General features: G+C 46.2%; 1 long non-coding RNA gene across 1 annotated transcript, besides 2 other annotated features; it reads left to right on the top strand.

Moving 5' to 3' along the window:
* The first annotated feature begins 1,518 nt into the window (after positions 1-1,518).
* On the top strand, positions 1,519-2,753 carry LOC105378118 (uncharacterized). The gene is made up of 3 exons (XR_943242.3): positions 1,519-1,649; positions 2,306-2,420; positions 2,685-2,753. It is a non-coding gene; the product is annotated as an uncharacterized LOC105378118 (long non-coding RNA).
* Positions 3,000-3,499: an enhancer, noted in NCBI's record as "H3K4me1 hESC enhancer chr6:166688619-166689118 (GRCh37/hg19 assembly coordinates)". NCBI's record gives its function as "activates a minimal SCP1, AML or CMV promoter by ChIP-STARR-seq in naive H9 embryonic stem cells {active_cell/tissue: H9 hESC(naive)}" and the evidence as "EXISTENCE:reporter gene assay evidence [ECO:0000049][PMID:30033119]".
* Positions 6,082-6,587: an enhancer, noted in NCBI's record as "H3K4me1 hESC enhancer chr6:166685531-166686036 (GRCh37/hg19 assembly coordinates)". NCBI's record gives its function as "activates a minimal SCP1, AML or CMV promoter by ChIP-STARR-seq in naive H9 embryonic stem cells {active_cell/tissue: H9 hESC(naive)}" and the evidence as "EXISTENCE:reporter gene assay evidence [ECO:0000049][PMID:30033119]".

Here is a 16,939-nt window from a genome sequence, read left to right as displayed (position 1 = left end):
ATACCTTGACCACAACACGATATCACTTCACACTCATTAGAATGCCTCTAATAAAAAAGATTTCAATTACAAGTGTTGGCTACGATGTGGAGAAATTGGAGCCCTTATATGTTGCTGGTGGGAACGTGAAGTAGTGCAGATGCTTTGGGAAACAATTTGGTGGTTTCCTAAGAAGTTAAACATAGAGTTATCACATGACCCAGAAATTCCCCTTCTAGGTGGAATCAGTTACGCAAGATAACCGAAAATATATGTTCACAAAAAACCTTATATATGATTTTCATAGCAGCATTATTCATAATAGTCAAACAGTGAAAACAGTCCAAATGTCTGCCAATTGATGAGTGGATAATCAAAATGTGGTCTGTCCACACAATGGAACATTATTCAGCCATAAAAAGGAATGAAATACTTATATATATGCACGACATGATGAAACTTGAAAATGTTATTCTAAGTGAAAGACACCGGATGCAGAAGACCACATATTGTATGACTATTTATGTGAAGCATCTGGAAGAGGAAAATCTATCGCGTTCATCTGCCAGAGCTGCCATAACCAAGTGCCACAGACAGAGTGGGTTAAGTAAGAAACTTATCATCTCACAGTTCTGAAGGCTGGAAGTCTGAGATCAAGGTGTCAGCAGAGCTGACACCTGGTGAGGCCTCCCTCTTTGGCTTGCAGATGGCCGCCTTCTCACTGTGTCCTCACATGGTCGCCCCTCTGTGCCCGCACAGCCAGAGTCCTAGTGCCCTCTTCTTACAAAGACACCAGTTAGTTTGGATCAGGGCCCACCCATCCAACCTTATTTTAACTTAGTCACTTCTTTAAAGGCCCCATCTCCAACTACAGTCGCACTCTGAGGTATGGGGAGCTGGGGCTTCAACATGTGAATTTTGGGGGACACACTTTCAGCCCATAACATCTATGGAGCCAGAAAGGAGATTAGTGGTTGCCAGGAGCTAACAACAGGGAAATGGGGAGTGACTGCTAATGGGTACTGGGTGGCTTATGGGGCAGTGAAAATGTTCTAAAATTGATTGTGAAGACAGTTGCATAACCTTGGAAAAATACTAAAAACCACTGAATTGTATCAAGGGTGATTTTTATGGTATGTGAATTATGTATCTTAATTTAAAAATAAGAGTATTTGCTAACCTCAAGGAGAGATTAATATAGGTGCCAGTGGAAGAAAGACAAGGCAAAATAAAGACAAAGGCATGTAGAAAATGGTTTTTCTGTGATGTCTCTCTCTCCTTTCCGTAACTCCCAGCCAGGACTCCTTTGGCTGGGTTTCCAAGTGCCTTTGACAAACCACCAGCTCAGGGCTTCTTTCCCTCAACCACCACCCCCTAACCTCGTTGCCAGGCTACGGAAATCCAGAGCACTGCTTGAGAAAGGAAAGCCAAGGACAGAACAGAGCCCTGGGGAGGAGCTCGTGGTGGCCAAGCCGAAGGAGGCAGGGAATTCCGGTGGCCCAGAGCCCTGGCAGAGGCTGCCACTGCGTTGAGCCCGTCACTTTGTTGAGTTTCGCGGTGTCGCTGTGCTTGGAAAGACAATTTCCTTTTCAGCAGCACTGGTATGGACTTTGGATGATCTTGCCTGCTTCTTCATTTCTCTCTTTCTCATGAAAGCCTTTCTCTTCTCGGTAAGTAATTGTTCCTATTCTGTGTCCTCAGTGAGCATGGGGAAGAGTGGCCAGTTTGTGGCACATTTTTTCTGCGATGCAGCCCAGAGGCCTTGATGTCCTATGGCACTGCGCTTTGGCAAAGGCATGTTTTTACAATCAGCTCGTCCATGCTCTTGTCTGGGAGTGGGTATGGGCACACAAACACACGGAGCTCCATGACTTCACCCCTAGCCACTGTCATAGGGAACCACAATTTGTTAAATGCATGGGGAAACACAGTATTAAAAAAAAAAATCACCACGCTGGGCGTGGTGATGCACGCCTGTAATCCCAGCACTTTGGGAGGCTGAGGCAGGTAGATCACCTGAGGTCAGGAGTTCGAGACCAGTTGGCCAACATGGTGAAACCCCATGTCTACTAAAAATACAAAAATTAGGGCGCAGTGGTGCATGCCTGTAGTCCAGCTACTTGAGAGGCTGAGACAGGAGAATCGCTTGAACCTGGGAGGTGGAGGCTGAAGTGAGCCGAGATCACACTACTGCACTCCAGCCTGGGCGACAGAGCGAGACTCTGTCTCGGTTAAAAAAAAAATCTTTCTCTGTAAAAATTATCCTGATCTAAAATATGATACACGTGTGTGTGTGTGTGTGTGTGTGTGTGTGTGTGTGACTTAGGCTGTCAGAAATCTTGAAAGGTCATACAAAAAGGCATACGGAAAGAAGCCCAGCGAGAAGAGTTTTCCTGCTGATGAAGACAGAAAAGGCACTGCAGCAGATCCTGCTGGGACAGGTAGCAACTGTTCGTGTGATTGCTAACAAATTGAATTTGTGGCGTCTTTGGTGTTTCTGTATTTGATGTCCTCGGTTCATTGGACAACAGAGCCATTGTTGGTGGCAGGAAATATCACTGTACATTTATACTGAAAGTCTGTAGTTCTGGCAAAATTAAAACTTTGAGAACATAAAGTTGCAAATTCTAATAACACTTTTTAAAAGTCAGTTTTCTTTCACATGAATGCATGTGAAAAATTCACGCAGCTTTTTGTCATCCAAGGTCCCAGGGAGAGAGCACGAGCGTTGAAACCTGCACCAGCAGCCCGGGCGAGGCGGCTCCTTGTGCTAGGGCGCCCTCTAGAGCCGGAGAGCGGAAGCGGCGCGGGCGGCGGGCGGCAGGCGGCGCCTCTGCACCCAAGAAGCGCTTACCCCCAAAACATATGCTGGGCCCCAGGTGCCTGCCCTGGGTAACCAGCACGAACGAACAGAGATACCCCAGGCTGTGTAAATCCTTGGTGATCCCCTAGATTCATCCTTTGAGTTTTAAAACCGAGAAACTTGATATCCAGAGAAGAAAGACCCTTTTGAGGCCAGGATTCCATGGGAGGAAGACCCTCTCCTCAGCCCCTTAATACCCACCCTCCCCAGCCAACAGGACCCTTGGGGAAGAAAACCCTCTCCCCCACCCCTCATACCTCCCCCCAGATCCCCCATTCCCTCAGGGGAAGGAAGACCCTCTCCCCCACCCCCTCGCGAGCCCCCCTCCCACCCCAGACAACAGGATCCTTGGGGAGGAAGACCCTCTCCTCCCTCAAACCCCTCCTCAGCCAACAGGACCCTGGAGGAGGAAGAGCCCCTCCTCCACATCCCACAACACCCCCCTCAGCCAACAGGACGCTGGGGAAGGAAGACCCTCTTTCCCACCCTTCACGACCACCCCCAATTCCCCAGCCCCAGCCAACAGGACAGATGAGGTGCAGGCAGGCTCATGGGTTCGGTGGAGGGAGTTTGGGATCACCCCAAAGCTTTTTCCATTTTCGGGGTCAGCAGCCTGGCTGGTGGCCAGAACCAGCCAGTTCTGTGAGAACACTGGAGGCATGAGCAGCCCCTGCCAAGCAAGTGGCAGCAGCCTGGCCAGGGAGGCGTGGGTGTCACAAGTGAAGGGCCCAGTGGGGCCGGGGGCTGTGACCACATGTGGAGGGCCGGGGCCTGGGCCGGGGGCTTCCTCTCTTGGGGCTGAGGTTTGCTCATCTGTGAGTCAGGCTGAGGCACCCATGCCTTGGGGTGGCCTTGAGGTTAAGGGGTCTGTTTGTGTGAAATGCTCAGGGCTGGGCCTGCCCTCAGCACACTCAACAGGTGACAGAGACCGTGACCATGATGTCGGACCCGTCAGCCGCCCTTACAGGTGAGCACATCGCACATCCAGGGGGAGCTGGTGATGACATCACCTGGTCCTCACCTGAAGCAGCTGAACCTCTGAGACCCTGGGCAGCACTGTTCACGCTTCCCTTATTTTCCGTACCTCACTGCTGCCTGAAGCCCCAAATATACAGCTTGGGTAAACCATTTCCCCTGAATTGTGTTCACAGATTAAAAGATGCTAATGGGAGATCCAGAAATTTCTAAGAAATATAAAAAACCAATATGTCAATATTGGAAACCATATTGGCCCCTGACACAGCTCAATGCCACACACTTGTTCCTCTGCCCCCCCAATATACAAACATGTACATACACACACAAGCAGACAAGTACACACAAATATTTGGGAGCATGCACAAAGACATGCACGTATACAGACACACATGAGCATACACAAAAACACAGGCACACATGAGCACACACAGAGACACACATTACACACGTGCACACACAGACACACAAGAGCATGCACAAAGACACAGGCACATGAGTGCACACACAGACACACACACGTGAATGAGAAGACAGCAAAAACATGACCAGACACGAGAAAAGATTCAGTAGTATAGAATAGGGGAATCCATCTGAAATTTCAGAATAAATATACCATATATAACAAGTTTACTTTTTAAGACAGCAGAAAAAAGAAGACCTAATCCACAGTCCCAAACAGGTGTGAGAGATTATTTCATCTAACACAGGAGAGCATGCTGACATGGGTGAAGATTGACTTTGGATTAAAAACATGATTTCATTTTTAAAAGCAATAGAAACAAAATGACAGCTACATTTGCCCTTCAATCTAGCAACCCTATCTGCTAGAAATCTATCTAAACCTTATACTGGCATAAGCACAGAGCGATCTGGGCACAGTGTTGTTAATTACAGCATTATTTGTGATAACACAAGATCGAAACAACCAAAATGTCCACGAGTAGTGGGCTGACTATGAAGCCACAAGAAGAGGAAGATCTCTGTGGACTGATAGGTCAAGATCTGCGGGATATCACATCCGCGAGGGAAAAATCAAGGGGCAGAACAGAAGAAATAGATGGCCGCGTCTTGTGTCATATATGTGGGGAAATAAGAATATGTGTGTATATATTAGCAAAAAGAAGGATAAAGCCGAGGCCAGGCGCAGTGGCTTACACCTGTATTCCCAGCACTTTGGAAGGCCAAGGCGGGAGGATCCCTTGAGTCTGGGAAGTTGAGCCTGCAGTGAGCCATAATTATACCACTGCACTCCAGCCTGGGCCACAAAGCAAGACCCTGCCTCTCTCTCTCTCTCTCTCTCTCTCTCTCTCTCTCTCTATATATATATATATATATATATATTTTTTTTTTTTTTTTAAAGATAAACCAGAAACTAACAAAGATGGTTACAAACAGCGAACCCTAGGGGGAAAATGATGGCATGAAAGTGACAGTTCAATCATTAACCCTCTAATCCTCTTTGATTTTTGTACCGTTCAATTAAATCATACAGAAAACGGTTTATACAATTGAAAACTGTAATGTGTGAACCTAATTGTATATCAAATTGGTAACGTAACCACATACAGAAAACAACCATTTCTTGGTCTTTAAAACACAGTATTTTTATTTACTTTATTTACATGCTTAGTGAAATATAGTGTAAGTACAAAAGAAATTTAAAAATCTTAAACTGAATTTAGCAATTTGTCAGTAATAATATTAGAATTATTGTTTTGAAATTATTTTATGTATAAGATAAAATAAGTAATTTTGAATGCTCTTGTAAACCAAGGTTTTTAGTGTGAGAAAAGAATACAAGTACAAAATAAAAGTCCATGCAAAATTTTACAGTGTTATGTTTGCGCTGAAAATATTAATATGAACTCATGCTTTATTTGTAAGATATATTTTCTAACTTGAAATATATCTACTGAAAGAACCTAGAAGCTCTGACACCCAGTAGCACTGAGCACCCATTCTCACACTCAGATTTGATCACTAGTGTTATTCTCACTAAAAGGAACAAGAACCCTACAGCAGATTGAGTTTTGTTGTTGTTGTTTTGTGTGTTGTTTTTCTTTTTTTTTTTTTTTGAAACAGAGTCTTCCTCTGTCCCCCAGGCTGGAGTGCAGTGGCATGATCTCAGCTCACTGCAACCTCTGCCTCCCGGGTCCAAGCGATTGTCCTGCCGCAGCCTCCCGAGTAGCTGGGATTACAGGTGCCCGCCACCACACCTGGCTAATTTTTTTGTATTTTTAGTAGAGACGGGGTTTTCACCATGTTGGCCAGGCTGGTCTTGAACTCCTGACCTGAGGTGATCCGTCCACCTCGGCCTCCCAAAATGCTGGGATTACAGGCGAGAGCCACTGCGCCCGGCCCAGATTGAGTTTTGGCCAAAGTTCTTTCCCCATCCCTGCACCCATCGCCCTTGCCATCTTCTGTGCAGACCCTCCCACTGAAGGTGACGTGGTTTTCTCAGTATTTGGCTCTGTGGAGTCTTGGCAGACACACTGGGCATCCTTGCGTGTGGCAGATGCACCTGGCAGCTGTAACGGAAGTGTGCCCTGAGACCCACCCGGTGGTCTAAAAAGAGCGTGTGTTCAGAGTCCCCAGCTAAGGAATCCAGGAGTGGCCAACCTGGAGATCCACTCTTCATCCATGAAGGAATCTGAACCCCTGGCCCAGCCCTTGGAGCGCAGGCTGTACCAGGGGATCAAGGCCCTTTGTTTTGGGTCAGATGGAGGCTGCTAGCTGGAGGCTGCAAAGGGAAAATGCTGTGTAAACAGCACGTTCTTTACAAACAGTAGCGGTTTTCCCGTCCGGCAGCCACCACTGCATGTGTCTCCCATGCTGGCTCCAGGTCTCCTGTGGGCCTCTTGGACGTGGCACCACCCCTGTTGGAGCCCACAGGAGCTCAGCACAGTGATGCGGGGGCTAGGCAGGAGGTGGGAAGAAGCCCCGTGCCTGCTGAGCCCATGGGATGCACCGAAGCGGGGTGGAGATCTGTGGGGCAATCCCAGGTGGGCCCTCCACACCAATGTGGGGCCAGTAGCTGCTATCCTTGATGGATGGGGCCCATGCCTGAGTAGGGAGATGCCCCTAAAACGCCAGAGGGTCTGGAAGAGCGGCTGCAGGGTGTAGATCCGACTAAGTGAAAGTCAGGGCCCCCAGCCATGGCCCCTGAGGTCAGCGGCCACTGAGGTCAGCACAGCGCAGGTGGGTTCCTCAGCTACAGGGCCACTATGACTAGAAAGACGGGTGAGACTTGCTGGGGCTGAGATCCTGGAGACCTTACTGCTCTGCCTGCTGGCACAGGGTGACAAAACAGACACCCTGGCTTGTTGCATGCCCATTGGAATAGTCACTGGCCACCACGTCAACTGGTCAGGGCTATTATTACTAAATCGTCCTGAAGCCCTAAGTTCCGGGATTCTATGGAGGGCTCTAGCATGGAGGAGAGTGAAGACTGAGATGAGCCCATAGGTGTTCCTCTCCTCTCTGCGCCACCAGCAGGCACCACCAAGATAAAGGCAGACCAACTGCACCTGCAGGGAGCAGCCCCCAAGATTTGCCCCTGCCTGCAAGATGGCAGCTTGGGCCAACACTACTGTAGAATGGATGGAGCTGAGAAATGGGTTCAGACAGAAGGGCAGAGAGTCGGTCATGGGGTGGCTTCTCTGTCTACGGGAACAGATGGAGGGCATTGTCCTCTGCTGGGTTGAGATGAGTGAAATGGCATCGACCACAGGCCACCTTGCCCTGAGGCAGCACCTCTGTGGCACCAGTAATGAGGATCGGGCCATCCCCCACCTCGGCTGGGTGGTTGGTGGCTGAAAGGCAGCCTGGCCACATAAGGGGGACATCCCATGTCTCCTTTTCAATGGCAGACTATGGAGAATTTCAGGACAGCCCCTGGGAATTGGGGACTTAGCCCCCTCTATGTGCTGAACCTTGTTGGGGTCCCAATGACGAGCTTCTCACTGACCGCATGAAAGACGCCATGCTGAAGTGTGTACTCAACCAATGGATGGTGCACTGGTGTCTGTCCTGAGCCCCATCCTGACCCAGTGTCTCGGGGTGGGGGGTGGGGTCCAAGTGTCCACTGACTTAGGGGAAATGGAGAAACTGTGTGGGTGAGGGGTGTGGGTTGCTGGCACAAAAGACAAGTAACCTGAAGGGAAGGAGATGGCCGAGGAGCCTGTCAAGGCGACCCACTGACAAATGTAGCACGACCTGGTAGTGTCAGGGACATCTACTGTGAAAACAGATAAATGGCCTAGTGCTGTTCCAGTCAGACTGTGGCAGAAGCTCAGGCCAGGGCAATGCTTCACTAAGGAGCCTGGGTTCAGCCCACACCCCTCCCACAGAGGCACGGCCGGCACCAACCTCTCTAGACAAGGATGAAGGCCATGGAATCCCAATAAGAGGAATACAGCTCTTCCTCAGAACTGTGTCCAGAATCCTCCTGCTTCTCATCCCTGTCCCCGAAGCCCCTGGTCCGGGCCACAGCCCCTCCCACCTGGACAAGTCCGGGTCCCCATCGCCACTCTCTGCCCACCTGTGCATACCTGTCTCCTCTCAGCACAGCATCAGGCTCAGTCTGGGCCGTCCCTCCTCCATCCTCCTGTCCTCCCTGCTCACCCCTCCGACCTCCTTGCTGCTTCCTGAGGATGGAGTCAGGGTCCAGGGCAGGGCCTCTGCCCTCGAGGGCCCTTCCTGGGGAGCACTCTTCCCTCAGAGGCCCTGTCAGAGGCATTTGAACCAGAGCGACTCCATCTTGAGTAGGGGCTTGGTAAAATAAGGGTGAGACCTACTGCATTCCCAGTAAGTTAGACATTCTAAGTCACGGGATGAGATAAGAGGTCAGTATAAGGCACAGGTCATAAAGACCTTGCCGATAAAACTGGTTGCAGTAGAGGAGAGCCCAAATCCCACCAAAACCAAGATGGCGATAAGAGTGAGCTCTGGTCGTCCTCGATGCTACACTCCCACCAGCGCCATGACAGTTTATGGTCTGAAAAAGGGAAGCATGAATAATCCACTCCTTGTTTAGCATATCATCAAAAAATAACCATAAAAATGAGCAACAGGCTGCTCTCGGGGTTGCTCTCCTATGGAGTGGCCGCTTCTTTATTCCTTTCCTTTTTAATAAACTTGCTTTCACTTTACTGTCTGAACTCGCCCTGGATTCTTTCTTGCGCAAGATCCAAAATCCCTCTCTTGGGGTCCGGATCGGGACCCCTTTCTGGTAAGAGCCCCTCCCACTGCCCACCTCATCTGGGCTCACCTGCCACCAGCCCCCATCCCCTTCGCAGCTGCCCCATGCTGCCCACTCCTGGACCCCTCTCCCACCTTCCTGGCTTTGTCATCGCACAGGTCACCTCCTTCCAGACCATGGCAGCTAAATCTTAGACCTCTTTACTGTTTCTCCTACCGAAGCTCCAGGGCCAAGGAGTCCACTGTTCACCCACATTTCCTAAAAGCCCAGAACAGCACCTGCACACAGGAGGCATTTAATACATGATTTTGAGTGAAAGAACGATGGATGAATAAATAAAAATCAACTCGGGTTTCTCTAAGTGTGTCCACAGCTTACTGCATGGGTCTGTGTTTGAATGCCGTTCCCTACAAAAAAGACAAGAAACCAGCACTGGGGCGTGAAAAGATAGATTTCCTTCACCTCCAAGCCTTCACCCACCCTCACCTCATGACAGGTTTCGCCCTGCACAGCTTGGTAAGCCTTTGGAAACAAGCTTCCTGTTGGTGTTGAATGAGCACAACTTCTTTATCCAATGTGTGGTAAAAGCTCTAGTTTGCTGTCCCCCTTTTTCGGAACAAGCAACGTTTTAGAGCATCTGAGGATCAAAACCGATGTTTAGAGCAGCGGGTCTCAAGGTGTGGTCTTGGACCAGCGTCACCCGGCGACTTGTGAGAAATGCACATCCCTGGGCCCCACAGAGCTGTGGCCTCAGGTGGGGTGGGGCCTCGAAAACTGTTGTCACAAGCCCCCCAGGTGATTGATGCCCACTCAAGTTGAAGAACCAGAGCTCCTGGGGGAGAGGAGGAGGGGGCTAAACAAACACAGTCACCTGAAGACTTGGAAGGAGATGTTTACAGCTTTCCAAAAACTCATTGATGTGGAGATAATTCCGTAAATCACTTGCTCCGGACCCATCTGGAAGTCCAGCCCAGACTCCATTCCCAGGCACAGGGACGTCCCACCTCCCCGGGTACTGCCCCTTCCATAGGCACCTTGATGAGATTAAAAAATACGCCAAAAACCTTTCTGTTGACAATACTCAGTGTCAAATACCGCTGTCCTCGCGGGAGGTGTATTTGCATTCGATTAATATGTGCATAAAATGTTGTCCTTGTCTGAGCCCAAATACACAAATTGGAAAATCAAAGCGGGCCCCTTCACACCTTTTGCTGGCTTCATCCTGAACATTTATTTGTTTTAAAACAACTTCCTCAGCGAATTTCCTTTCTAAAAGAAGCTCCTCTCCATTTTAAAGGGAAATTACCCCTCCTTCTCCTTCTCCTCAACCAATTTCTGACAGTGACCCCTTAATGAGAGCCAGCGAGGTTGCAACTGGCATTTTCTCCATCTTCCGTTTTAAAGTCATAGGTGAGGCTTTTAGGAAATATTCTCAAGGAGATTCAGATGGCTTCAAAGAACTGGCATTTTGTATGGAATTTATACCAGTGTCCAACTAATGCTTTTGTGGTGTGTGTAAGGCAAGTAATTATTTAAATGCAGTAGACTTTGACTTATGTTCCTATGAGGAAATTATAAAATGATCTCTAATAAAATACTTAGAGGCATTAAAGAATACATGTTCTACTCCAAATAGCATTTCATCATTAACGTAGAATTTTAACTAGTACCTACTAAGAGCAAAAATAGGAAAAATGTCAATTTCTAATGAAAAGATTTGAAGTGTTTGATAATGTCCCGCAACTATTGGTGGTAACTAATTTTTGATGCCTCCAGGGCACCAAAATTGTTTTTATGGTTTTTTGACAAAACTTTTCTGTCTCTGAGACTGATTCATTGAACATCTTAGAGGCTATCATTTACATAGTGACTTCATTTTTCTCATGACCAAAGATGTGGAAATAGCAAAATGTGACCAATTTTATTATTAAACAGACTTTAGAAATCATTTCATCCAACCCTGTGTCTTCCCAACAAGGGAAAGGGGAGATGTTTGTGAGAATGCGCCCTGTGCCTGGCGCCCAGGATGGGTGGGCACCATTCCGGCCCCTAATGCCTTTCCACCGTTTTCTGTCTGTCTGAATGAGATGCTTCAGAAATAATTTTTTGTAACACTTTTTAACACCTTGGAATCATTAAAGGAATCTGTTTTCTTGCTAATTATAAATTAATGGAGTCAAAGTCTAAGGCCCATTTACTATATTTTCAGTGTTTACCATAATTTGGGGTGTTGCTCCCTACTTTATGCTAGTCTAAGGCTCAACCTGCATTCACTTCTAAGTCCATCATGCACACTTTAAAGTCTATGTTAACTGGACTGTGGAAGGGAGATCTGAATTTTAATATCCTAAATGTTAGGCTTCCTCTGGCTCTTCACCCACTCCGGCTTTGGTTTCCTCTTTTTAGGAGCTGTGTGTGTTGAGTTCAGAGCAGAGAGGCCTGGAGGGGCCCACCTGGCGGTCTCACTTGCCAGAGGTTCTCTTACATTAACCTTCTTGTGGCATGACGTCATCTTGCCGGATTTTCATGTCATTTTCCTAGGCCCAAAAGCTAAGGAATTTAGTCAGTGATGGGCAGAGAAAGCATCTGCCTTCAAACGCATTGTTGAAATTGACTTTTGAGGAATTGGACAGATTTTATATAGTTATGTTGACAATAAATATAATTAGAATGAATTTTCAAGTTAGAAAATGACTCACCTGGCTGGGCGCGGTGGCTCACGCCTGTAATCCCAGCACTTTGGGAAGCCGAGTTGAGTGGATCACCTGAGTTAGGAGTTCGAGACCAGCCTGTCCAACATAGTGAAACCCTGTCTCTACTAAAAATACAAAATTAGCCAGGCATGGTGACACGTGCCTGTAATCCCAGCTACTTGGGAGGCTGAGGCAGAAGAATCGCTTGAACCTAGGAGGCAGAGGTTGCAGTGAGCCGAGATCATGCCACTGCACTCCAGCCTGGGTGACAAGAGCAAAAAAATTCCGTTTCCAAAAAAAAAAGAAAATGACTCACCTTGTGTTTAAACACCTTATTTAATGCTGGAGGAATGTAAGGAGTATTAGAAGGTAATGGATTTGAAGGGCCTTATAAGGAAACAGGAAGAGAGAAGAATTTTTCCATGAGGAAATAATTTTCATTTTACAGTTAGAAGAATTAACACCTAGACAAATGAAGTGACTTACTCAGGACAAGGCTCCTACCCCTGGGGCTCAGAAGTACTTGGGAATTACTTCCAAGCCATATAAACAATATTGAGCTTTGGGTTTATTTTATTAGTTACTTAATTATACTTATGACAGGAATATAGTTTAGGCTTTTAGTAAATGTATGCTGTGTTGAATTAGTTGAACTTTAAAAATGGATTACTTTCTCAATAATGTATTTTATTAATCTTTCTCTCAGTTTCCATTTTAACCAGAGACTTACAATGTAATTACCTTTTTAAAGGATATGGTGGTGTTTTATTGCACCTTGAATTGCTAAATTTAAATTTGTTTTCACTTTTTCATGCTTTTGATTTTTTCTTCATTTAAAGGATCTAGAGCCACATTTACCCAAATTAGTAGGCATTAATGTCAAGTGGACTGTTGAAACAGCAGAGTAAAAAAAGTATAATTCAGAGGATTCACATGCAGAGTGGAAACACCCAACCTCCCTGTCCTCCTCAAGCCCCTAACATGTAGGCTCTGCTACCACGGGTTTCAAAACCAGGCCTACAGATGTGTTTCAGGGGTAACAATATTTTGGAGGAAAAACTCAAAGCCCTTTTTTTTTTTTTTTTTCCTGTTCAAGTAGCTATGAACATGTAAGCCACTGATTTTTCTCATCCGGGGAACACCGATGATGACATTTGTTGAGTTGTAGATCTCTAGGTTAGACCAAAGGATGAGATCAGTGCAGAACAAGATACTTAAAGCGTTGACCACAGGCCTAGTCAATCTCTCCGAGGACGGCCAAGGGCAGGTTTATCAGGCTCTACCGTCCTTCCACATGAAACTTGGCATGACCAGTACTTTGAAGCCTGAACGAAAGACGACAGATCCAGCCAGGCTTGGTCTATAGAATCGTGCCTTTCCCCACCTCCATCCACCAGGAAAGAGGAGCCTGATTAAGATCCCCTGTTTTAAGTCTGAAGAGGGCAGATTCCAATCTTCCCCATTTTCAAAATCACAGACTTGCCTTCGCTGCAGAATTAGGGCTCTACAAATTCGCTCTCTCAGAGTTGATAACTGCCAAGATAAAATGGTTAACTTAAAGGATTTTAATATAATAAATGTTAATTGTTTAGTAGGAACCAAGACACAAGTGAAAGTGCTAGCATTTGGCAGACTTTGATGGATTTCAAAATCCTATCATTTATTGGTTTTAGCAAACATTTTCCATTAATGACCGTACTTGAAGACATTTATATCAAATAGATAATTAATAAAAGTATATACATAGCAGCAATGCTAAAGTGATTTTAACTAAATAATTAGTTCTGGCGCCAGAAATAATTTAACTTTTTAAAAAACTAATAGCAAATCTATTTGTTTTGCTACTTTGCATACATTAGGTGGACAATAAATAATGGTTTGTTGTGGGCTGTGCTTTAAAACACCAAAATAACTAATTATTTGATTAAAGTGGTGCTTTGTCTCAGGAAACCTAGTATACAATTTCCTGAGTCCTTGAACTCAATGGAGGAGACCATAGCATGTACAATTACACTGTTTCCTAAACAGGGTGACCAGAGTCCGATCAAGACAACCTATCTCAGTTTGTGAGCATCATTATTTTTTAATACTCTCAGTAGAGTGTGTTTTGCAATTCACAGTGACATTAAATCTCCATTGGTTATTTGCACAAATGAGTGCATGTGATGTATGCATATGTATGTATACATGTGCATATGTGTCTATATATCTTTTAAAATTATACCAAAAACAAAGAACATGGTCAACTGTCTTCATTCCATCATGAGTGCATTACTGAAGCATTTATAGTATCTCTCCTATATAGAAGTGAACTACTCAGTAACCTCAGCTATTCAAGACTTCACAGATAACAAGAAATAAGGAAAATGATCTTAAGAATCAAGATAGATGTCACAGAGCCCATGAACTAAATAGTCATAATTGTTGAAATCTTGATAATAATAGAATAGCAAGCGCTTATATAGGATTTACTGTGGGCAGCCTGCCTCCAAATGCTTTATACAGATCAGATAATTTAGTCTTCACAAAAACCATGTAAGCTAGGCATTATTAGTATCAACTCCATTTTGCAGATGATGAAAATTGAGGTATAAAGAAGTTAAGTAACTTGTTACAGTCATGTAGCCTGTCAAGCGGTAGAGCTGGCATTTGAACCCGGCAGGTGGCTGCAGGTTTTCAGCCCCCGGACACTTTGGCCTTTTAGCCTCTCAAATGGACTTTGTGTCACAGTACTTCTATACGTTCATGCATTTTCCTTGTAGGTGGGATAAATATTCATCTAAACTTTATGGGGCATTTTTTAATTTTCTTTACAGTTGACCAACCAAATATCTGATTTTTAAAAGTGTTGTTGTTTATAAATGATGGTCATTATAGTCATAGATTTTTCTTAAAAATCTCTAGTTTTCTCCCCAGTTCTAACAAGCGTGGATATCTGTTTTCCTTGCACATGGCAGATCAGAAGTAGTGACTGAAACCTGGGAGTGAGGCAGTGAAACAGTCAGCCGCAAGGGTCTCAGGTCAGGGCAACGGGAGAGGGAGAAGACCCAGGCTTGCTAGTGTGGGCCTGGAGATTGTCACCACTGTGAAACAGAGATGGGCTGCTGGTGGTCACTGGGATGTTGCAGAGTCCTCAAGAGCAGGTTTCCCTGGGGTGGAAATCTAGCCAGGCCCTGGGCAGGCTTACCAGGGGCCTCATCTGCATCCCCTCAGAGGTCTCTGAGATAAGGAGGGATGAGGGTACCCAGGACTTCTGAGGACACCTGTGAAGAGGTCTCTGGTAGCAGGACCCCGATACCCCCAAGAACACCCTAAAGATATGCCCTTGACTTGAAGAATGGAGCCATCAGCAGTGGAAAGAACACTTTCGATGTGTGATGGTGTTAAAATACATTCCACCTTTGTTTCTTGGAACTTAAAGCAAATTCTTGTAGAGGACGGTAACTGAAAGAGCTGCCCCTTAGTTTGGAGATGGGGTCCTATCATGGTGGAATCTTCCCCAAGCCCTCCCACCTCCATTCCAGGAAGAGACAAGAGCTGGGGTGTCATCCAGCAGGAAGAATGGGGGCGCTGCTCCCCTTCTGCTTGAGCCTGAGTTGGCAGGCTTGCTGTGGCTGCGGGGATGGCAGCTGCGCCTCCTGCACAACGCAGGATCACAGCCACAGCAGTGGGGACCTAGACAGCTGGGGCCACTAGACCAGGCCACCAGACAGACAGAGGGCTGGAGAAATGCAGAGGTGGCAGCAACACACGCAGGCAGGCAGGCAGGCATCAGGGGCTGTCAGCAAGAGAACCTAAGATGCTCGTGGCAGTAGAAGTGGGCCCCTGGAGCGGCCCGGCAGTTCCTGGGTTGGTTCTGCAGACCTGAAGCTCTCCCAGGTCCTCGAGGACCTCAGGCCTTGGCCTTCCTCAGCTCTCCTCAGAGGTTTGACCACTTACTCTGTCAAATGAGGTAATGAAAGGGAACTGGCGACAGGTTTAGAATGTATTACACAATAGGCCGTGAGCGGTGGCTCACGCCTGTAATCCCAGCACTTTAGGAGGCCGAGGCAGGTGGATCATGAGGTCAGGAGTTTGAGACCAGCCTGGCTGATATGGTGAAACCCCATCTCTAGTAAAAACACAAAAATTAGATGGGAATGGTGGCGTACGCCTGTAGTCCCAGCTTCTTAGGAGGCTGAGGCAGAAGAATCACTTGAACCCAGGAGGCAGAGGTTGCAGTGAACTGAGATCATGCCACTGCACTCCAGCCTGGGTGACAGAGCAAGACTCCGTCTCAAAAAAAAAAAAAAAAACAATGTATTATACAATAATAATTATCTATACGGAAATGTTACACTCAGGGCATGGGAATCAACTCCAGAAAGAAATCCAAAGTTCTAAAAGTATAAGATATCATAAGCCTGGAATAATGAAATGTGGGAGAGGAAGTGCTGAAGAATCAGGGCCCGCTCTCACATTTACACTCTGCACACACTATGCACTAATCACAAGCAAGGCCAATCGCGAAAAGCAGGGCTTTTTGAATGAAAAAATTCGTTCATCTCAACGGTGGAGATGTTCATTTTTGCTTATTGGAGATAAAATAATATAATCAGAGACATCATAGTTAAGCTTAACAAAATAACATTATTAAAAACTTTTATACACAATGAAAAGGAACTTTGTTTTGTAAGAGACAATGAAATCTGAAAACAATAAATGTAAAAAGATGATACAGGTTTACATCCAAAATGCACACGGATTGATATGAATGTATAGGCATGAACATATAATCCACACTTTGCTAAACAAGTAGTCAAAGGATACTTACGCTTTACACATCAGCAGTAACCACGTATATTTATAGATTATGTGAAGCCTCATAACCTCTTCTTCGTGACGTAAAGGGCAGGTGTGACCATCCTCTTTCCACGCACTGGATACTGAGAAACGAGCTTGGTGCAGGCATCCTGGAAAGCAGTCTGGCTGTCATAATGGAAGCAGGGCCATTGTCCCTATGCTTTGGCTTCTTAGTGTTTTTTGAAAACTATAATTCAGGGGTATGGTGAAAATATTTGTACTAAAGCTATTTTTTTTTTTTTTTTGAGATGGAGTCTCGCTCTGTCACCCAGGCTGGAGTTCAATGGTGTGATCTCAGCTCACTGCAAGCTCTGCCTCCCGGGTTCACACCGTTCTCCTGCCTCAGCCCCCCGAACAGCTGGGACTACAGGCGCCCGCCACCAC

This window comes from Homo sapiens, chromosome 6, assembly GCF_000001405.40.
Source record: "Homo sapiens chromosome 6, GRCh38.p14 Primary Assembly".
Taxonomy (NCBI): Eukaryota; Metazoa; Chordata; class Mammalia; order Primates; family Hominidae; genus Homo; species Homo sapiens.
The sequence above is the reverse complement of the archived record's forward strand: the minus strand, read 5'-3'. Positions and strand labels throughout refer to the sequence as shown.